General features: G+C 32.1%; 1 protein-coding gene across 13 annotated transcripts in view, besides 1 other annotated feature; it reads right to left on the bottom strand.

Annotated features, from left to right (window-relative positions):
- The window catches only part of NBEA (neurobeachin), a 730467-nt gene that overhangs the window by 457148 nt on the left and 248759 nt on the right, over positions 1–24560 (bottom strand). For 10 of the 13 annotated variants that reach the window (XM_047430271.1, NM_001385012.1, XM_006719803.4 and 7 more), the window contains 3 exons: positions 19287–19725; positions 6735–6889; positions 4410–4536 (listed from right to left, as the gene is read on the bottom strand). In XM_047430271.1, coding sequence (XP_047286227.1) covers positions 4410–4536; positions 6735–6889; positions 19287–19725 — 721 coding nt within the window. The remainder of the gene's footprint in view (positions 1–4409; positions 4537–6734; positions 6890–19286; positions 19726–24560) is intronic. The other 3 variants (XM_017020544.2, XM_017020545.2, XM_047430269.1) reach the window with 1 other exon arrangement.
- Positions 15306–17454: an enhancer, noted in NCBI's record as "VISTA enhancer hs1330". NCBI's record gives its function as "enhancer in: neural tube[3/4] | hindbrain (rhombencephalon)[4/4] | midbrain (mesencephalon)[3/4]" and the evidence as "EXISTENCE:transgenic organism evidence [ECO:0001131][PMID:17130149]".

The raw sequence follows: 24560 nt of genomic DNA, 5'->3' as shown, positions 1-24560 counted from the left end.
AAATTATCCCCTTTTTTCAGTTTTATTGAGGTAAAATTGACACAGGCAATCACTGATTTGCTATTTTTTAAGATAAATTAATTTGCATTTCCTATAATTTCATAAAAATGGAATCATACACTATGTACTCTTTTTGGTCTGGCTTCTAACTCCCAATTGGAAATTTACAGCAAAAAATCTAATATAATATCATCAAACACATGAAAATTTAGAAAAACATAAAAATTTAAAAAGACATAAAAATAAGTACAAGAGTTTTACAATGAAAACTACAATAAGTTGCTGAAAAAAATTAAAGATCCCAATGAATGACAATTTCAAAAGTTTGAATACTCAGTATTATGATGAAGAGTCTCCTCAAATTAAAAGGTTCAACAGAGTTGTAATTAAAATTTCAGCAGAATTTCTTTTTTTGTTGCTTTAGAATTGACAAGTCACTTCTAAAATTTACATGAAAATGCGAATTAACCCAGAAAAGTAAAAAAAAAATAGTTACAGGACTTACATTACATCATCTCTTTCAAAACTTAATATAAAGCTACGATACAGGAAGATAGTGCAGTAGTGACATATAGTTCATGGGACAGAATGGAGTCTAGAAATAGATCTACACATAGGTGGTCAATTGATTTTAAATCAATTCCAAGGTAATTGAATGGTACTAAAACATTAATATACATAAAGACAGAGCCAAATCCCAACCTTTACCTCACCACAGACACAAAAACTAAGTCAAAACAGATCAGAAACCTAATAAAGATAAAACTACAAAACTTTTATTTTAGAAGAAAATATAGTAGAATATCTACATGACTTTGTGGTAGGTAAAGATTTCTTATGATTTACAAATGGCACAAATCATAAAAGACGAAACTATTTGAGACAATGAACTCTGTCAAATTAGAAACTTTTGTTATTAACAATTTTAAGAAAATAAAAATATATACAACAAAATGGAACAAAAAATTCTAGACTGCATGTTTCTCACAAAGGACATATATGAAGAATATATAAAGAACTCATATCTCAAGAAAAATTTTAAAAGATAGCAAGGGATTTCAATGGCCCATAAGCATATGCAAAAAAGAATACTCACCATCATTAATCAATAGGAAAGAAAACATAAAACCAAATGAGATATGGTTACCCACCCATTATAAAGTCTTAAAAAGACTGACAATACCAAGTGCTGACAAGAATATGGAAAAAATAGAACTACACATTGCTGACAGTAATATAAAATGATACTACTACTTTGCACAACAGCTCAGCAGTTTCTCAAATGGTTAAGCATACACTTACTATCCAACCACAATTTTTCTCCTAGTGTTCAGCCATAAGAAATGAAAATTTATGTCCACACCAAGACGTGTTTTCAAATATCTATAGAATCATTATTTATAACTACAACAAAATGGGAAAACCCAGATGGCTATCAACAGGTGAAAAGAAGAGTAGATTATTAATAGCCATATAATGGGATAATACCTACCAATAAAAAGGAATAGACTACTCATAAACAAAAAGATATCGATAAATCACAGATCATTAGGATGAATGAAAGAAGACAGACACCAAAAATAGTATGTACTGTCGATTCTATCTATGTGAAAACCTTGAAAAGGCAAATCTAATTCACAATGTTAAAAAGCACTTCAGTGTTTCCCTGGAGCAGAGATAGGAGTGAATAACAAACAGGGCACACAGAACTTTCGGGGTGATGGGTATATTCTACATCTTGATTGTGGTGGTGGTTATGTGGATGCATAAACTAATCAAAACTCATTAAAATGTATGCTCAAAATGAGTGTTTTTTATTGAGTTTGAACAATATAAACAAATAGTTTCAGTGAAGTTTATCTGAAAACTTCAGGAAAATAGAAACATACAAAATATTCAATTCCTAAGAATAAATCAATTTAGAAACATCTAAGACTTCCACATAGAAAACTAAAAATCATTACTAAAAAAAATAAGAACACCTAAGGAAATGGTAGGAATATATGATAATCACAGTTTGTTAGTCACAGATTGAAAGAGACCTATATAGCCCCACTTGCAATAGATCCAAATACTCCATTACTTATGAAAACCCCAGCAAGTTGTTTTTAAAATGGATACTGACAAACTAATTCTAAATATAAATGTAAATGCAAAGCATCAAGAATACCTCAGACTTTCTTGAGGAAAAATAACAGGGTGAGAAGATCTTACTCAACTCAATATTTATTAAACCTAAGGCTAATTAAGATGGTATGACTTAAAGACAGACAAAGAGATGAGGCAGAGCTGCTTGCTGAACCATAATCAAGTGTATATGAAAAACTAATTTGTGACAAAAGTGACAGAACACAGGGAAAAGAAGTGTCTTTCAAATAAATGGTGCTGGGTCATCTTCGTATACCTATTACTCCTACCTCATTTTAGTCACAAAAAATTCTAAATGGATTACACATCTAAATATAAAAAGCAAAGAATAAAGCAGCCAGAAGGCAAGACAGGGAAAATGTAGACAAAGCATTTACAACACCAAAAGCACTTATAAACCAAAAAATTATAAAGTGAATTTAATTAAAATTTACAACTTCTGTTGATCAAAATAGACCATATTGATAATGATAAGAAAAGCCAGAAAATGGAAGAAGATATATGTATGGCATATAATCTACAAAGGGCTCATTTTCAAAAAATTAATTAGAAAAAGACAAAAAAAAGCCCACAATTTAAAAAAATGGACTAGAGACTTCAACAGGCAAATCAAAAGAAGAAAACAAAAGACCAATGTATTTAAAAAGTATTCAACCTCATTTATTATCAGGAGAATGCAAACTAAAAATACAATGGAATGCCACTATACTTCTGCCAAAATGGCTAAAATGACAGAGACTAAATACTAAGTCCTATCAAAGATATGAAGCAACAAGACCTCTCATAATCAGCTGCTGAGTTAGTAAACTAGTACAACCACTTTTGCAAACCATTTTGCATTATCTAGTAAAACTGAACATATACAAACACTACGAATCAGCAATTACACTCCAAATTATCTAACAAATATGCATATTAATGTGCAGTACACACATGTAATAGTAGTATACTCATAGTAATTATAAGTGGCCTTATCTATATAGCAGTATTATTTGTAATAACTAAGAAATGGAAAATTCCAAATGCCCATCATCAGTAAAATGAATTAATAAATTATGGTATAGACACATAAATAAATAAAAGGAGAATAAATGAATAAACTCGTTATATGCAACAATAGTAGATGAATCTCATAAAAATAATGTTGAACAAAAGAAGCCAGAGACAAAGAAATACATAGGATGTACTTACATTTACATAAAATTCAAAAAGGACAAAACTAGCTTAGTATTAAAAGTCAGGGTAAGGAATTGGAAGAAAAGCAAGAACAGTGACTGGGAAAAAAGTGCAAAGTAGGCGTTCCTGGTGTACAGTCTATTTGTTGACTTTGTTGATGATGAGTGTGTTCATTCTTTCAATAAGCTTTTATATTCTATATTTGTGTTATACTTCTATAAAAACTGTGAATACATACGTGTGTGTGTGTGTGTGTGTGTGTGTACACGTATACACAATCTTACTCCAAGAATGAGGGCCAGTCTCTTCTAGGAATGGTCTTTAATCATGACAGATAAGGTAATGTTTGCTTATTCAAGTTCCAATGATGTTATATATAACATTGTAGATTTATTTTGAAAGTTACTTAGTTTGTTTGTTTATTTGTTTATTTATTTATTTATTTGAGATGCAGTCTCACTCTGTCAACCCAGGCTGGAGTGCAGTGGTGTGATCTAGGCTCACTGCAACCTCTGCCTCCCGGGTTCAAGTGATTCTCCTGCCCTAGCCTCCCTCCCGAGTGGCTGGGATTACAGGCGTGCACCACCACACCCTGCTAAGTTTTGTATTTTTAGTAAAGACAAGGTTTCACCATGTTTTCCAGGCTGGTCTCCAACTTCTGGCCTCAAGTGATCTGCCCTCCTCGGCCTTCCAAAGTGCTGGGATTACAGGCGTGAGCCACCACACCTAGCCTGAAAGTTTATATTTTAAACTTTTTATCACCCCCCAAAGATGCCCAATTTTATCATGTTACCATTTGTACATGTTTTAACCTTTACCGGAAATAGTAACATGCACTAAATGACAGTGAATTACTATACACTATACGACAGTGAACATTTTAAAATCACTGAAGATCTCTGCTTAGATCGAAATATATCATAGATTTTTACATAATAACTAGCCAAAAATATCAGAATTGTGAAATGTAATCACAAAATAATTAACCTTCATTCTCAAGAACTCTTTCTATATTTTTGTATTTTTGTGTACTGTTTCACTACATTTAAAAAGAGTTAAAATGAATAAAAAGTAGTCATGCATACCTCATATTTTCAGCTGAATCTTCTGGCATTGGAGCAACAGTTTGTACAGCTGGAAGGTTTTTGCTAGTAGCACCATTCACAAAACTAGAAGAGGAGGAAGAGGAGGAGGACCCTGAATCCACGGCACCTGTTCCCAAAATAATAATTTTTAGCCTTAAACATAAATTTATTTAAAAAAATTTTAATTACACCATTACTATCTGATTTTGAAAGAATTACTCATCAGATTTTCAAAACCGAATTTGACAATTAATCATTTGGCCATTAGTAAGTATGCTAATGAACATAATTTTATATAACAGATGTTGCATTGAAATCTAATTGATTTACTTACATTAATCTAACAAAACTACATACTACAAATGGGGTATAAATAAAAAACATCAAGAAATGAAAAAATTTTTCGATAAAATGATGCTGATAAAACAATGCAAACTTAGGGGTGAAAAACTTATCTTTTTATAGCTACATTGTAATATTTTTGGTTTTCATCATTTAAGACATAGTTTGGAGTGAACTATCTGAGCGTAAATTTGTGGCACTGAAGCATCTAATGCTCCTTTTGATAAGATCACTGCTTAAGAAGGGCTATAATGAGTTACATTAGTACCTGGTCTTAAAATAATGAGTCTTCCCTCAATGATATAAAGATGCCATTTTAGTAAAGATTTTTCTATCATATGCCACGTAAGTATATTAAGTAGCTGTGGAGTTGAGGGACATCTAGTGTTCCTAAATATTATTATCTTATACTAATTCCCATAAAACTGAATTGCTTACTGGGATTTCCACTATAACATTTTATAGCACCTATGTGCCAATATTTGAAATGAACAGTATGCCCAGTCTTTAGCTGTTGGCTCACAATTTATACACACACACATACACACACACACACACACTTTTAAGAAGTTTATCACTTACATTTTTCTCATTATAATATTATATACTTTATATTATCATCAAAACTCTTGCTACCATCACTTTCCATATTATTAATTCTTAAAATAGAAATTAAAAAGAAAACATCATGACTTGTCTCATATAAAAATAAAAAAGGTGATTTCATTTTGCATTTGCCTAACTCCTAACAAGAATAAGGACTTTATTCATATTTTTAAAACCTTTACACTTTTAACGTATATACTTTAGTAAAAGAAAAACAGTTTTACTCCTATTTCTAGAAAGCTGAATGAGTATAAAGAATGAAACTCTAATACTGGAAAGACTTTAAAGTCTTCAGACAAGCCAGATAGAAATATCTATTTATAATACAGGTAAACAATAGATGGTCTATTCTTTGACACAATGCCATTAATGACATTCATTTGCCAATATAAATATTCTTAATAGAGTACATTCTACTTACTACAACCCCATAAATGTGTTGTTCATGATATGTCAGACTCAGGTGGTATGATAAACAAGATAGATACAGAAAGCACAAAAAAGAGCTATGAAATTAATAAAAATGGGAAGAATCTAAGTAATGATAATAAATGGAAAAGTTCAAGGCTATACAGTTTGGAGAAGAGAAGACTACTATAGTCAGGGAAGAAAAGTCAGGGATCATCTTGCGCTGTATAAATACCTAAAATGGAATCACAAAGATTTGGGTAAGGATTTATTTAGCTAATAATCAACAGGAACATTTCTGGAAATTTACAAAAAAAAAAGGTTATTTTAGGCAGACTTTTAATATTTGTAATTGATTTGAAATTTTTTGTTCCTAGATTCATTAGGAATTTGTTGGGCAATGAATTGGATCAAGTTATAATCTATGTATATGAATTAATTCAACGTCAAACAATGGTTCTTATTCACATGCACTTTTTATCAAGTTGAGGCGCTTGCATATCGTCAAGGTTCTTAGGGGAGCTCTGCCTCCCTTAGGGGATTTAGCAAAGAATATATATTAGAACTCAACCAATCATGTCCCCAAATCTACTTTCTGTCACTAACATTTTTAGTACATCTTGATATTCTTGATACATTTTACTGATTTTTACATATCAAACTTCAGTGTTCAAATTATCCTTTGCTTCTGCTCCCCAAATATCTTTCAGTAATCTGATTTCACTCTGAAAATAAACAGCACTGTTTTGAGAAGACTCAAAACCAATACTGTCCTCTAAAATGACCACTAAAAAATGCACTCTACAACTACAGACAAATTCTAAAAGTCATAACATAAAATATAACCTTCTTAAAAATTAAGATAATCTTAAATGATTAGGGTATTTTAATTTTTAAGATCAAATAAGCAGAAAAATGATACAGAAAACATAAAAAGATGAGTATCACAAAAATATGTAAGTACAATACCTGTTGTATTAATCATACTTTTTGGTGTAGCTCCAGTAGCAGCAAATATATTAGAGGTACTGCCTGTTGGCAGCCCACTTCCAGCAGTAGTGGCTCCCACAGTGGTTACAGCTAAACTACCTGGAGGTGGTTTCTTTACAGGCACCACAACACTCCTGCAAAGAAATGAAGGATTGAAAATAACAAACATGAGGTTGAAGATGAATTATAATCCTGCTGCAACAGATATACATAGTCAACATCGAATTTCTCCCTCTCTTCTTTTAATTAAAAAAAAATTTTAAACTCCTTAGTCCAGCTTTGTCAGTGGAAAGGATATGGACATTAAGGATATATTATAAAGTGTGTTGCCTAATTGATTTGGCCAACATTTTTGAAGACTTAGGAGTCTGCAAACCTTTCTTAAGATGGCAAATGGACTGTGATCATAAATCTGGGAATATTAAGAAATTTGTGCTAAAGTTAGGAGATTTTGCCTTTGCACATAGAATTTTTGGCAAAATATACATAAAAAATGTCCATCTTACCCATATCACATTCTCCATGTTTAAAATATTCATAAATATGTAAAAACATAAAACATTTGAATGCCAAATTCTTTTTTTGTTTTTTGATTTTTTGTTTGTTTGTTTTTTTGAGACAGAATTTCACTCGGTCACCCAGGCAGAGCACAGTGGTGCCATCTCGGCTCACTACAATCTCTGCCTCCTGGGTTCAAGTGATTCTCCCGTGTCAGCCTCCCAAGTAGCTGGGATTACAGCTACGTGCCACCACACTCAGGTAATTTTTGTATTTTTAGTAGAGACGGGGTTTCACTATGTTGGTCAGGCTGGTCTCAAACTCCTGACCTCAGGTGATCCATCCACTTGGCCTCCCAAAGTGCTGGGATTACAGGCGTGAGCCACCGTGCCCAGACTTTAAATGCCAAATTCTAAAGCTTCTTCATAGTAAAGCTGAAAATTAAACCAAGGAATAATAAATAAACTTCTAAGAGCACAATAAAGTTATGCTTTATTTTTCTGAACAAAATTGAGTTGCTTTTATAGTAGGAATATTATTAGAATGAAAGAGAACAGAGATGATAGAGAGACATTTGGTTAGAAGTTTATTTCACTTTTGAGCCTTGGTTTCTTTAACAGAGGAGTTCAACATTTCCCCAGGTTTCTTTAGCGTATTTTAAATGTATTTCATTTAAAAATTTCTGAATTTGACATTGTGTTAAGGTTAAATGACAAATAAATATGGATATTAGTCAGTTTTTAAAAATGTATAAAGAAACTACTTCTCTAACTTAATAAATATCTAAATTTTCTTGCAGTAAAGGTTCATTCTTCTCAAAGTTTATAGCACTGCAAACTTCATTTAGCAAATATCTTCCAAACCTTACTCAACCATCACAGAATTTATTCATCTACAAATAGATTTATGATCTATTTTAATCAAATGTAATGCTTGGAAACTGGTAACTGACAGTACTAAAATATCCAACTTGATTTACATCTTTTTAATGCATCTCTATTTCATACTTACTCAATGAAAAAAATCTACCTAAAGAAAACTACATCAATGGTCCTTTCTCAAATAAGTTTGTTGCTTAAACTTCCTTAATATCAACACTTTTTTTTCCACAAATAAGTGGTTTTGTTAATATCTTCAGTGACTTCTTTAATGTTAATAATCTATATTTGTAATAATTATTATTCTTAATTTTAGAAATACTTAAAACATTTTGTATAATACCTTAATATAATTAAGGTATTATAATCTTAAATAGTTTTACTCATGCCAAAAAATTTCTTCACTATCTCCTTCTAGGTACTTTCTTCTTTTCTCTTTAAGCATGTTGGTGTCAAATTCTTTAGACTCAACCTTTAATTCTCAACTATCTATCTAATTACCTAAAGCACACATTATGCCTTCATTCCCTATATTGGCAAGTCCTCATCTAATGCCTTCGTTTATTTCATTGAGAGGTAGTGTGACATTGCAGAAAAGAATATAAGATGTGGACTATATTTCAAAACTAAGGCTTGAAAACTGGACCACTCTCAAACTGTATGATCTTACATTTTTTTGAGTGTAAAATCGTAAGACTAATGCTACCTCCTTCGCATACAATTGGGGAGATTAAATGAGATCATATTTAAATGGACTTTGTCAATTATGAAGTGTATTATAAATGTTAATAATCATTACCACTGTCTAAAGTGAAATATATTTTTGTCTATGAGATATAAGGCATCTACTTATAATGATCTACATAAAAATCAACAGAAAAAAGGAACTTGCCAATATTTGGAGTTTGTTATCAAAATTCTCCTCTAAACTTATAAAATAATGTGAGATGTACTATTTCATTGACTCTCCAGCAAGAAAACAAAACCATCAACTGTCGATTTGAAGATAAGTCATTAGTGAAAGTATAATGCTCTTTTTTCTGCATCTCTCATGATTTTTTTAGAACAGCAGACACAAAGATGTTTATTTATGGATAAAGAATCATGAGCTAATTAACAGTGCTATGAGATGAATTTGCAGAAGGTAGAAAAACTATTACTATAAATTTCTGATCTGTTGATCATTACTAACTTTGAGCAAAAGCTCTCTGTAACAGACTGGTATCTTGTCTAATGTGGAAGCTATGAGAAATAAGTTATATTAGGAAAAATAAGTTATGAGACCGAGAGAAAAAAAATCTCTAAATCCCATAATTATGACTTATAAGTAAAATATAGACAGGTTAAATGCCTACTAAAAATCTCAAAGCACTGAATTAATAGCAATTGATGTGAAAGCCTCCAGATATTTCATTGCTTGCAAACTCAGCAGAGTTTGACAGTATGGCACAGAATTCTAACCCTACAGACCCGGGTTAGAATTCTACCTTCAGCAGTTACTACGTGGTATTGGGCACATAGATCTCTCTAAGCTTCATTCTCCTCCCCATTAAAATGAGATGCATAATGGTAATATCATCATAAACTTAAGATTGCTATAAAGATTGTTATAAAAGGGTGCAATAAGATTGTTATAAAGATAAAAGGAGGTAACACATATAAAGTACTTAGCACAGTCCATGGAATATTCTAAGCAGCCAATACATTTTAGCTATTACGAGTATTGCTATGGCTCCCAAAAGTGCTGATATAGTCTGGGTCTATATCAGCAAAAATACCCAGACTGAAAGAAGCAATAATCCTCATATACTCTGCTATTGTCATATCTCATACGTGTAGTTTTAGGCACTATATTTCAAGGATAATGACAAACAGAATCATGTCCCTAAGAGAACAGTTAGGATGACAGTTGATCTGGAAAACAAGTCATATGAGGAAAGGCTGAAAGGACAGAAAATTACAGTAAAAGGGTGAGAAAAAGTTACAGCATTTTTAAAAAATCTGAAAGTCTGATAAGAAAACAAAATGAAACTTCCATGTACTTCAGAATACCAAATTAGGACCAACAAGAAGAAAAAAATCTCTGATAATTTTTATGAATTCCAGTTTCTAATCACTTATGTGTTCAAATGGCTGAGATGACCAAGTTACAAGGGTTTAGTTGAGAGAAGCAGGAACCTGTATTTGACCGATTTCTCCGATCTTTTTCTGCACCTACATTATGAGTTTGTAAGAACTATTTCCCCTTTGATTCAGATGGCCAAACTGTTTATCTAGGACTAAAGGACTGCACGTTCTTGTCCTTAATATTGTTTCTTCACCAACATTACCCCTTCCCTTTTATCTCAAACCATTCTCTTTCTTAGCAATCAATCTTACAATTAATTTGAAAGTCCACACTAACCAGTATGTGTTGATAACAAATTAATTATCTTTTAAAATGTTACTTGGTATTAGCAACTATTCATATATGAGAGTAAAAATTTTCAACTCTTATAAAATCTTCTATCAGATTGTTACACAACGTTTCACACTGGCTATCTATTCCATCTACACCAAAAAAATCTTACCTAGAAGTCTAGGTACCTACTGTGGGTAACCTATTTAGGGTAGATAAATACACTAAAATATATACAAATTTTGGTGGTAAAAACATTTTTTTAGAGTGAACATATAGTTTTTAATGAATTTCAAAAACATACATAGCCACAAAAAGGTTAAGAGCCATTGAACTAAACTATTCAGGTATTATGCTCTTCTTTTAGATCTGCTATTCATCCTGACGGATACCTTGAATCCTCTACTCCAGTGGTCCCCAAAGCTTTTGGCACCAGTGACTGATATGGTTTGGCTGTGTCCCCACCCAAATCTCAACTTTAATTGTATCTCCCAGACTTCCCACATGTTGTGGGAGGGACCTAGGGGCAGGCAGGTAATTGAATCACGAGGGCCGGTCTTTCCTGTGTTATTCTCGTGATAGTGAATAAGTCTCATGAGATCTGATGGGTTTATCAGGGGTTTCCACTTCTGCTGCTTCTTCATTTTCTCTTGCTACCACCATATAAGAAGCGCCTTTCACTCCTGCCATGATTCTGAGGCCTCCCCAGCCATGTGGAACTGTAAGTCCAATTAAACCTTTTATTCCTTCCCAGGCTTCGGTATGTCTTTATCAGCAGTGTGAAAACAAACTAATACAGTCACAGATCATCAGGCATTAGATTATCATAAGGAGTACTTAACCTTGATCCCTCACATGCACAGTTCACAGTAGGGTTTGTACTCCTAGAAGAATCCAATGCCACCACTGATCTGACAGGAAACAGAGCTCAGGCAGTAATGCGAGCAATGAGGAGCAGCTGTAAATGCAGATGAAGCTTTGTTTACTTGCCCACTGCTTACCTCCTGCTGTCTGGTTCCTGACAGGCCACAGACCGGTACCAGTCCATGGCCCAGGGGTGGGGACCCCTGCTCTATTCTACATATTCCTTACCAATGGAATTTTTTAAAAAATCTCAATACTATGCTTTCCACACAATTTCAAACTTCTATCACACATCTTTAAGACTCTTAACTACAAGAAAGTGGATAATTCTTTTATACTACATAGAATCTATACACACTCCAAGGTTGTAAAAGTTATCATCAAAGTGGTATAAGCCAGGACATATTTCAATCTAATTCACTTGATAAAATATTTCATTAATTGATTATATGATTTTAATAAATTGACTAATAAGTAATACATGTAAGTGTGAATTCTTCCATCATTGAATTTATCCTATCTCAAAGCTAGAGGTGATACATTCACTCATTCATTCAACAAATATTTATTGAGCATTGCAATGTGTGTGGAACTGACGTAAGTTCTGGAGATATAGCAATATATAGAATAAAATCCCTGCTCTCATGGAACTGACATTTCAATACAGAGATATAGCAAATACAGTAACATAAATGAGTAAATATAGTATATCAGATGTTAAGTGCTGTAAGAAAAATAAAGCATAGATAAGAAGAAGGAATAATGTTGAAAGGGCGGCTCAGAGAAGATTGACAAAAAATGGTAGTATTTGAGAGAACACTGAAGGGGGTGAAAGAATAAGCCAGGAGGCTATCTAGAGAAGAGCATCACAGGCAGAGGTAACAGTACAAAGGCTAGTGTGACAAGAGAATACTGGGTGACATGGAGAGCTGTAAGAGATGAGATAAGTAAGAGGGCTGAGTTCACAGGGCCTTGTAGTCCATTGTATAGATGCTGGCTTTTATTCAGAGAGGGATGAGAAACCATGAAGGCTTATGCACAGAAGGATATAACCTTATGTTATAATAGGACTACTCTGGCTGCTATGTCACAGATAGTCTTAGGAGGGACAATGGTTACTGTGGAGAATGGCTAGGAGACTACAATACTACAAACAAGAAATGATGGTGGTTTGGAGTGGAATAGCAAAGTAAAACCTGGTGAGAAGTGATTCAAATTTTGGCAATATTAAGAAGGCAGAGCAAATAAGATTTAAATAAGAACTGGAGGTGAACATGAGAGTAAAGTCAAGGATTATGCAAAAAAATTTGCCTTAAGTAACAGAAAGGACAAGTTGCCATTAACTAAGATAGGGAAGAATATGGTTGGAGCAGCTTTCTTATACTAATTTTTTATACCTCTTTTTAATCATCCAAATAGCAATGTTGAATAAGCAATTGGATAGATAAGTCTCTAGTTTAGAAAAGAGGTTCAAACTAAGATATAAATATAAGAGTCATCAGCATACAGATGCTATTTAATGCCAGGAGAGTGGATGAGATGGCCAAAGAAGTGAATGCAAAGGGACAGGAAAAGTGGTATAAGGATAGGGTATTGGCAGTCTCCATTAAACAGTTCGGTAAATTTTGTAAAAACAGGGATACTATCTTATCTGTGTACATCATGGTTTATCCTAGGTACAAACGGAGATACTGAAGATAAGAAAGAGCTTTTAAACAGTGACTCATTAAGGCAAGTGAGTTTTATAATTATTCATGGCACACTATAAGAATCCCGTTCTTTCTGTTCCCTTCTACTGTTTGAGCACTAACAGGGGATTACACTAAGTTTGGGAGACACAAGACAAATAATACATGCCCCATGCCCTGGGGCATATTCCTTAGATACTTTAAGGAATATGACACACAAACTGACCATGCAATATATTTCAATAATTGACCTGGTCAGAGTTATGCCCAGGACCTTTCAGGAACACAGGCTGTGCACAATCAAGGAAGAGTGGGCTGAAATGAAAAGGATCAATAGAAATTAACCAAGTAGGGAAAAGTGCATACAAAAATTTAATAGTAAAAACCTAGCAAGGCAAAGAGACATGAAAAAACAAGGTAGGTTAAAGGAATTGCTTTAGATACTTCTGGCTGGTGAAAGGTGTGGACTTTCTATTCCAAACTAAAATAATCCTCCTTTATTATATAAATAACAAGAATTATTTCAGAATTTTCATCAGCTTCACACTTTAGAAAAATGTCTATGGCATAAATGTAAAAGATAAATTTGGGGTGAGAGAGGAAACATGGAAATAGTGAGGGCAGTTAGGAGGTAACAGAAAGAATCCACCTTAGAGACGCTGAGGGGCTAATGTAGTTTGAGAATGGAGATGCACCTTTTCTGGGATTCAAATCTTTTAGCCAAGCTCGAAAATATCTATCTGTTGCTTTGGGGGACTAATAATAAGCCCATTTCATTTAAATAGGATTTTGGAAATTTATGAGACTTTTTAGAAATCATGTAGCTTTATATCATATTATATGGGTTGGGAAACTGAGTTCCAGAGAGCCAAAAAGAATGGATCAAGGTCCTGGAACAAATTGAAGAGAGACCAACTATTAATATCCAGTTCCCCTAATTTCCAGATTATCACTCTCTAACTAGGATGTGGATGTTAAATATGTATCTTGAAAGAAAACGTTGAAACTTAAAAGAGAAAAATAATTTGTTACTGATTCTAGGATAACATGACAATTTACTTCAGTTCATCAGAAATCGCAAGGTGAATGCTCTCATGATGTTATCTATCATGCTTCCTTATTTTGTAAAATATTTGAGAATTGCAATATAAAAAAATATGTTTAAGAAACAATAAAGAATCTCATTAAATCACCTATTAATGAGAGATACTTTATTCAGCTCACTGAACTTTATTCAGCTCTCTATAAATGCCAGGAGACACAAAGTCAACAACATTGGGGAAATGAGGACACAAACATGCTCAGTCAAAACTGAATCTTCCAGCAATTGACCTTAAAATATATACTCAGGGCACTTGCAGCATAATAAAAGCAGAAATTACAGTGGCTAGATGTAGAAAATTTCAATTGTAAAGGCTGGAAGATGAATAATCAATTTGGCTTACGTTTATTTGTTCATCTTTTAAGTGATAGGGTCAAAATACTTTTTTAAAAAAATAGTAATAAGAACAAATTGAAGTCTTCAGAAGTAATTATAATTTTTCATAGTTACTTAATTCTAACTTTAAATAAATCAACATAAGACCTCATTAACTCTACTCAATATTTTTAAAAATATTTACCCTGAAATTTCATCCTTACCACTAATATCAATATTAGAATACTAATGAAACTAAAGAGAAAATACCTAGCTCAAGCTTATACTTCATGGTTAATAATATGAAGTCTATCTAAGTTGCTTTTTTGGCCCTATATTATTTACAAAATAGATTTTTCTTTTTCAGATAATTAAACACTGGGAAGCAAGGATATTAAAATTTTGAGGAAAAAATACCTACTAGTTTCCCTGAATATATCAAACCCAGTAATTTGAATACAGGAGGTTTGCAAAATCTGAAAAAGTGAAGTGTAAGTTTGAGGTCTGTTAGCCAAAGAAGCAACACAACTATAAGCTTTGTGTGATATCACACACTTAAAACAATTTTTAAAAACATACTAACAGTTAAAAATGTATGAGAAGCACATTGCCCTCTATTTTTTTTTTTTTTTGTCTTTTGTTCAAACTAAGTGGGAATCTCTGGAAATCCTAGGAAGTTAAAACTAAACCAAAACATAGATATATATATATACCAAACACTCAAAAGATAAAAAGCATGCAGATATATAAGATTAAATTTTTAGTTTAAAAGGTAAGTAAAAGGTTAATTGGTGGCTTTAGATAAAAGCATTACTCCAAAGTAAAAGTTACACAGTACATGAAAAATAATAGCTCAATTAAAACATTTTATAAACCATCGATAAATATAGCAATCTATCTAAAGAGATAGTATTGTTAGAGAACTTGGCAACTTGATTTAAGAATTCTAAAATGAGATTATTAAGCTTTTCTGTTAAAAATAAAACCATCATAAATATTTCTCTCTGCCTCACAGTAACAGAACTTTGAAAAAATTGTTATAGTTTTATGATTGTATTTCCTCTTTACATACAGTGTTTGCTCATTATAGAACAGTACTAGAGGATCTCTAGCATTTTAATACTTCATGAGTACACATCTGTTCGGATCACTGAGTATAATCAAAGATATATACTTAATCTGCACAGATGACTGAAGGAAATAGAAAAAGAATCAGTACTTTCCTTATATGTACAGAACATTTATGTAATATTTCATAATCTGATGAAATATGTAATAGTAAAGAAAAAAGGTTTATTTTAATTAAGTCTAAATGTTTCTAAGAATTTGATGTTGCAATTTTTTATTATAAACTTCAAAACACTGAAATTCACCAATGCTCCATCCTAAGGGGTGAGATACACTCGACGTAGAACACAAGTTAACATAACTCAAATTATCCCAGTTGTTCTAGGAAATTATTTCCAAATTTAAAATCCAGGATAAGTATAAGGAAATCATTGTTAGCATGTCTGCAATATAATCAATAAACAACTGGTTAACAAAAGTAAAATCCTACATGAATTCTATTGAGACTGTACAATATTATTAGGAGTGTGATTTAGTTACAAAGAAGCGACCAACTGAGTTTATATCTACTTTTCAACTAAAGATTAAAATGAAAAACACGTTATTGGTAAAGTAAGACCCATGATAGATTCTGTGTTTGAAACCGGTAGCATTCAGGACTTTCATTCTAAAGCCTGTCATCCTGGATCTCATTTTCAACGAATTCAATCTGATGTTAAAAGACATGTCATAACTTGGATTTCAGACATTAGTGCTTCAGAAACATGTTTATATACCTCATAATGTAATTATAGCTACCTTAAGACAGATAAGGCAAATGGTAGCAATACCCTGGAAGTATAATTGAAAAATGCACTGGTCCAGAAGCACTTGTGGGGATGATGTCTCTGAAAAGCTGCTCAAAGCTTCAGAGTTTGAAGTTAAATTTTTGATGTTGTCACTCTCAATCTATTGAATGGCTGACAGACAATCAAACCCGTCTGGCTGGCTGGCAGCTCATTTTGCTGGCAGGTGGCAAACAATTAGACACACCAATTTGTGCCTCCTGATGACATTAAAGCATGAAACTAAGTTGTATGCAGGGCCTAGTGATTTGTGTGAAAGCATTTCAAAAATAATACTCTTTGCCGTGGCAACTCATTTCAAACTGCCACCTCCCATTATGGCTTTGAGTAGTGAAGACGACAGACTTGAGTTACGTGCAGTGCAAGGCCGCTTCTGTTCAATCCGTCATCAGCGCCCCCGAGACCTCAATCCCCTCCTTTCATCAATATCACCTCATCATTTACATTTGATAGTACTTGAGCTATTGCATATATTAACTACACTAGAGACTCTTTTCCTAAAAAGAACTGAAATATGCTTTGTGCTCTTCCATTTCATTTGTACTTATGCAATTTAGAATAATGATTCCACTCCTACTGCATTTTGTACAAATGCTATAGGAACATAAAAAGCTGTATTTTTCTTAAAGCAATATTCTCAAAAGTATAATAAATTTTGAGTAGCTAAGAATATTAGCACTCAGGTGACTGCTTTTTAAAGTTTTAATTAAAAAACTCATTCTAACAATAATCCAAATTAAAACAAAAAATTTTACTTAATGTTTATTTCATTGGATTTTCATATGTAAATCACAATAATCATCTGTATTTATTGGTTTGTATTTTACCAACATTTAAAGATATAATTTAAAATTAACTAGAATACAAAACTTAAATTACTATATATTACCTTATAGGCTTATAGAAATACACAAGTACATATACTTACATGCATATGTTTATACAAACTTATAAACACACATATAGGCATATCGTGAAAACATAAACCAAATATGTGAAAAAGGTGAAATAAATGTGAAACATCATAAGGAACACCCAGGGAACATCACTATATGAATGAACATCCAAACACAATATTAATACCAAAATACCAAAAAAAGAAAAATATTTCTTACATTTTATAGTCCTACCATTTTTTACTTTTTAAAACTTCTGACACCACACATTTTATCTATTATAGCAATTATTTGCAAACATCTTCTTACTACTCTCTAAATTCATAGAAGATAAAACTAATTTTATTCATCTTTATATTCTGCATGATAACCAGTGCCACTTAACATTTTCCACAACAGATTTTCAAGACGTATTTGTAAAACACTGGCAAAAGTGTTTACAGGCAAAGTTTAAATTATATTGTGTATTAAAAGGGTAATTCGGCCAGGTGCGGTGGCGCACGCCTGTAATCCTAGCACTTTGGGAGGCAAAGGCGGGTGGATCATGAGGTCAGAGTTCAAGACCAGCCTGGCCAAGATGTTGAAACCCCGTCTCTACTAAAAATACAAAAATTAGCCAGGCGTGGTGGCAGGTGCTACTCAGGAGGCTGAGGAGAGAATTGCTTGAACCCAGGAGGTGGAGGTTGCAGTGAGCCAAGATCGCACCACTGCACTCTAGCCTGGGTGACAGAGTGAGACTCCATCTCAAAAACAAAAAAAAAAGGGTATTCATCCAAACTGAAATGACTATACCGCCACATCCTCTACCCCTAAACTAAAATGTTACTTAGAACAAGAGCAGTCTGGCTACTTTAGAGAAAGCAATATGGAATAGATATTATTTTTTGACTATATACTTTGACATTTCCATTTAGAAACATTTTATTTCCTAATTTGATCTTGTCTTTCTAAAACAAAAAAAACACTTGCTTGTCAATCACCTCATACATATACATAAATTTTTGGTATGAAAAGATGTTTTAAAACATCAATAACAATGATTTACTTTAAAAGGTAAGCCATCACATTTTTCAGTTAATACATTAACACGCAAACATTATTTGGAATAGGCATTAACCCCAGTGATCAATGTTAAGTACTACTGTTAGTAATTAGTGACTAAAATATTCTTCTAATCTTGCACATGTTTTTAAATAGTGGAAGATATTAGATGACTAGGGTATTAGGTTCTAAAATATCTTATTCTGCTTCTGTGAACTATCATTTTTATTGAATGTATACTGGAATAAAAAGTTAATTGTTCCTTAAAAAAATTCCTTGCATGATTTAACATTTGAATGTAGATATATGACATATGGGCCATGTTATAAATAGTTTCGATACCTAAAATGCCAAAATACCTTTCAAAAATATTTACTTTTAAATACATGCTTCAAAATACAGCTTTTACATTGGTATTGGAAATCTCATAAAGAAGATGACCACAAACAATTTTAAAATTTTTCCATATACTTCCATTTAAGGTTCAAATTTAAATATTATCACTTAAAGCATGTCATATAATCTCCAACAATTATTATAGTATTTTATAATATTATAATGGAATTTCAGAGCCAGGATAAACCTTGGACAGATGTGACCCATCCCCTTCCCCATTATGTACATGAAACGACTAAGTCCAAAGAGAAAAATAACACCCCGATGTACTGTAGTCCTTTGATAATGGAATATAACCATAATCCATGTTTCCCTACTTCCAATTCAATGTGCTATCCATCATATCACATTGAAACCTCTTCTTTAAGATGTATTATTAAGATGTCTTATTATAAGATTAGGTTGAGCCATCATTTTGATTGTCTTTGTAATAAGAATCTACGTTAATAAAGTTTTCAAGATCTTCCTTATATTTTAAAATTAACAAAGTCTAATTTTCCTTTTATGTATAAAGCCCTGTGAATAATAAGTTCAGTACCTACCTGTCAAAGGAATGAAACTGCATAGGAAGAATAGCTTGTGTTTCTCTCTTCAATGCTGGATCTGGGTATGGGATAGGTTCAGGGCCACATTCTGCTATTTCAACTGGAGCAGCCACAAGACTTTTCAGTATTTCCTTCACATTGATGCCTTTGGTTTGACTAATGCTAGATATGGATGTTGCAGGCTTCAACGTTTCACTAGGATTTTCAGTTAAGCTCTCTTGTGATTTCTTCACTTCGGATGACAAAGTGGATAAGAGTTCACTCATGGCATCAGGGCCTGTACTTGTTTCTAATTCTGCCCCATTCAGGATGCTAGCCACTTGCTCCTCTCCAATTCCTGAATCTGTATGGGGAATTGAACTTTCTACCTGAATATCTTCACCAGGAGTTGGTGTTTCTTTTTCTTTTATGGTGTCTGGAAATGCAGCAGGTGTTTCTGTAATGAAAGAAACTAGGTTAGAAAAAAGCTTTGAAAGTAAAAATCTTGTATTATTAATCAAATGTTTTCATATATTCAAATAAAGAAAACAAAACCTGTAGAAACAAAAAATTGCTAAACGGATGTGCATAGTAGTAACACAACTCAGTTGAAAGATATCATCCAGCCAGACATGATGGCTCATGCCTGTAACCCCAGCACTTTGGGAGGCTGAGGCAGATGGATCACCTGAGGTCAGGAGTTCGAGACCAGCCTGGCCAACATGGCGAAACCCCGTCTCTACTAAAAACACAAAAATAAGCTAGGCACGGTGGGATACGTCTAATCCCAGCTACTCGGGAGGCTGAGGCAGGAGAATTGCTTGAACCTGGAAGGTGGATGTTGCAGTGAACTGAAATCATGCCACTGCACTCCTGCCTGGGCAACAAGAGCAAAACTCCATCTCAAAAAAACAAAAAAAAAAACAAAAAGATATCATCCAATACACCTACTATTTTGTTCAGGGAGCATCAAAATAATCCTCTTGCTTCTTAAATCATCTGGCATTTCAAAACTGATGCCTTCAAAAGCATCAGGAAATAGTTCCTATAACAATTTCCTAAAGCAGCTTATAAATAATAATTATATGATGTTCCCCTCTTATCCTTTGATTGTTAGCTGCCAATCATAGAAGAGAAATTCTTATATTTCTCTATTAGTTTCCTTAAAAATATAAAGTCATTTTTATACTTTCTTTGGTACTTCAATAACTAATAATATCTGAAATATTCAAGATAATCGAAGATCATTTTAAAATTACAATACGTAAAATTCTGACACACTTGCAAAATGCAAAGCAAGTCAAATGATTAGTTCAAAAGAATAAATACATTAATAATATAATAATGTTCCTCAAGGACAAGGCCTATATTTTGGAATACTCATGCTCATTCTTTGTAAATAAATATAAATTTCAATTTGTGAAAATTAAATCAGAAACATATATGTGCATATAACTACACAGATAATGAAATACACATATAATATTAACAACTAAAAGTAATGAAATAAAAAAATCTTTAAAATGTTAAATTTCTATCAAATTTCATCATACAAAGGTTAATGTAATAAAGTTCTCCATATAATAAAATGTTACCAAATTCTAAACGATAACCTTGAAAAGTGTATCTCATCTAAGTATAATGGAGATAACAGTCCTTAACTTAATCGTTTTGAATAAAGTAAGATACCATTAAGCTACTATATGTAAATTCACTGCAGTTCTCACTTTAAAGTAGAAGCTCAGTAAATGTTAGCTATTTGTATTGCTTAAACTTGCATTTAAGTTTGAAAGTTTCATAATCTTTGAAAATGAGAAGCACAGACTAAATTATTTCAAAGATCTCCTAAAAATTGAAAATCAGTAAATTCTATATAACTTCTCTTAGATTTTGTTATTATTTGCTTGTTTCTTTGAATTCAAAGGTTGTTAGGACAAGAAACCAGGAAACTGCCCAACAGGAAAATAGGCTACCTTGATGTCAGCAAGACATCTCACAAAATCTTTTGTGAAATCTCTAGTAGAAGTGTTGTTCTGATGATAGAATTGTTGGGTGTGATCACAGCTTCTGAAAGTTTTGTACACACATACTAAAAAATTAAAAACAATATGAAGGGATTTTGTCAGTAACAGACTCAATTCTTGGGTGTTGTCTATTAGACAGTTTTTTTAATTGCTTGAATTTAAACTAATGGCATACCATTCAGATTTCCTGAGGGTGTGAATTTATAATACTTTTTCTAGGATAAGCATCAGAAAAATGTTGCCAGGTTTTGAAATAAAATCTCCCATTTTTTTCTCCCCCTTTTCTTTTGAGTCAAATTATATCAAATCTATACATTAAATTAGGAATAAATAACATCCTCATATTATTCAATATTCCTAATATCAAATACTAATTTAAACTGACTTAAAATATGCATTTATCACAATGCAATGTTATATCATAGTTTTCCTCATATTTGTTGAATAGATTTAAATTTTGTTTGTTTATTTGTTAGTTTGGTCAAAGATGATAGACTGAAAGAATAGATTAATCTGTGGAATATGATAATAATATTCAAACATTCATATTGGATGACCAATGTGAAAATCAGGGTAGATTCTTTACTGCTTCCAAGATTAAAAATTAAAATAACTGCATTTGACAAGACAATGTCAATAATAGTAGGCAAAGGACTAGAGAAGGAAACAGGTAAGAAGTAAAGACAATAGTTTGGCATTTTTAATAAAATCTTGTCAGAGAAGACTAAGACTTAAATTAGAATAGTAACCCTATAAATGAGAAGGAGGAGAAGACTAAGGGTATTTCTGAAATATCTAGGTTAAGAAAAAGAGTGGTAATACGTCACTAACTGAGAAAGGAAGAAAATGAGATTTCTTCAGGAAAATAATTAACTAAATTTTGAATCACTTTTAGTCTACAGAATCTCTAAGATATTTATATCTGTAGGTCAAAAGAAGAATAGCCGTACATTTTGGGATCATTCAAACTGAGGCAATAGCCAAAATTTTGGAAGTTGATAAAATAACCTACAAATCTAGAATGAGAAGATAAGATGACTGAGGCAGTTATTTTCACTATTAGAGATACCACTGAATATATTTTAACATACATTTGTATCTATGGATTGTACATTTTTTGAGAGAAAACAATTGCAGCAAAGTATCAGGAGAGAATTAAATAGTTTAAATAGTTATAGCGACAAGAGGACAGAAAATGTAAATGCAGAAACAAAAACTTTAACAACAACAAAAACAAAACAGTGTCATGGTTACTAGCATGGGCTAATTTTTATAGAGTTTAATTATCAGAAGTCATACAATCATATCTAACACTTAGTGTGAATTTAGCTAATTTACAGATATGGTCTAGTGTTTTGACTTTCCATTAATATAATGTCTAAGTATCGTTATATATGACATGTTACATTAACAGCTATACAAAAAGTTTAAACTTCTCAAGCTATATTAGACTGGAATATAAGCATTTCACTAGCAAACAAAATACCTAAGGAAATAAAATCTGATTTGGTGTTCACAAGCTACCACATCAAAAGACTTTTGCCACCAACTACATAATATTTTGCTTTTCTGCTCAACTATTTGACTTACAATGGATATTAAAATGTTTAACTTTCTAACTAGATAGTTGAAACTTCAATATAAATGTTGATCTCTAGATTACAAAACACAATTAGAAGTTTCTAGAAATCAAATATTAGAATATTTTCAAATAGCTCATCAAAATATTTACATAGTACTAAAAACATCTCAATTTTATTTTTATTGAGGCTGATAAAAGAATGATTTCAAAAAGGAAGTAGTAATTTTGATATTTCAATGACTTTTATTCAAATAAATATGTTTTGTAAAGCATACACGCTGTGATATTACATAGAAATAAAACTAAATGCCAATAGGATATTTTATAATAGCAATAAAAAAACAGATCAGTAGTCAAAAAACCTACATATTTCTCAGTATGCATTTACATCTTTAACAGAACATGCTCTCAGTTGATACCATAAACTTCAACTTAGATAACTCGTGTTTCCAGAATACCTCTTTGTGACACTAAAGTACTTTGAGGATTTAATCCATGATTCAAATAGGAAGTTAGGCATGAACTGCAGAAAAACTATAAATGATTGCATCTGTGTAGGTTATATTAATCACAGGCATGTAAGTTTTCAATAGCTCTTATCAGTTTCTGTAGCAACAGGCAATGTCAGTACACAGAGCAGAAACATTACTAGCCAGAGTGATCTTAACCTTGTCAGAAACAGGCATTTGGATGCCAGATGTCTCTTTTTCTTACTGTTTTTCATTGACTATAATGAGTTCATCTAATACATTTTGAGAAAAATATGAGGACAACTTCAGCAAATGACATGATATTTACACGGTGACTTCACATATCACATTCCTTCCTCCAAAAATCCTGTTTTACCATGATTTATGAAGAATTTCAATATGTCTTACATATTAAATTACTGAAATTGCCATTTTCCAAACTCTCTAAATAAGGAATATCATGAAAGAAACATACAGCACCTTGTTAGTATAGCACTAAAAATTATATTAAGCTTTGGCACTTCAAATAATAATATAAGCAAACTAAATCACTGTAATTTAAAATGAAACATAAAAAAGCTATATGTAACTAACTTACACATTTTGTTTATATTAAATCCATAAATGCAAAATTAATTAAATATCTTAACTCCAAAGAGGAAAAAAAATACACAAAAAGATTTTAAATCCTCATTAAAGTTCATTTTAAACAAAAATACTGCAATGAATTATTTGCGATTATTTATATATGATTTATTTTGTTTGCTTGCTACACTAAGTGTATGAAAAGAATACAACTTCAGGAATTAAATATTATTACTAACTTATACGCCCATAAGAGACAAAATGAAAATTAAGAGCCAAGAAAATCTTCTAATTGATGTTTTGACTACGCTGTGTCAACATGTGGGTCTCTCTTGAGTTTATCCTACTTGGAGTGCATTGAGCTTTTTAGACATATATATTAATGATTTTCATCAACTGTAGGGAGTTTTCAGGCCAATATTTCTTCAAATTTTCTTTCTGCTCCTTTCTTTTTCTCTTCTTTCCTCTGGGACTCCCAGTATACATATGTTGGTTCAACTTAATAGTGTCACAAAGGTCTGTGAGGCTCTGTTCACTTTTCTTCATTCTTTCTTTGTTCTGTTCCCCAGCGTAGGATAAACACAATTGAACTATCTTCATGTTGCTGATTCTTTTCCTGCCAGCTCAGATC

This window comes from Homo sapiens, chromosome 13, assembly GCF_000001405.40.
Source record: "Homo sapiens chromosome 13, GRCh38.p14 Primary Assembly".
NCBI lineage: Eukaryota > Metazoa > Chordata > Mammalia > Primates > Hominidae > Homo > Homo sapiens.
This window is presented reverse-complemented; position numbering and strand designations above follow the sequence as displayed.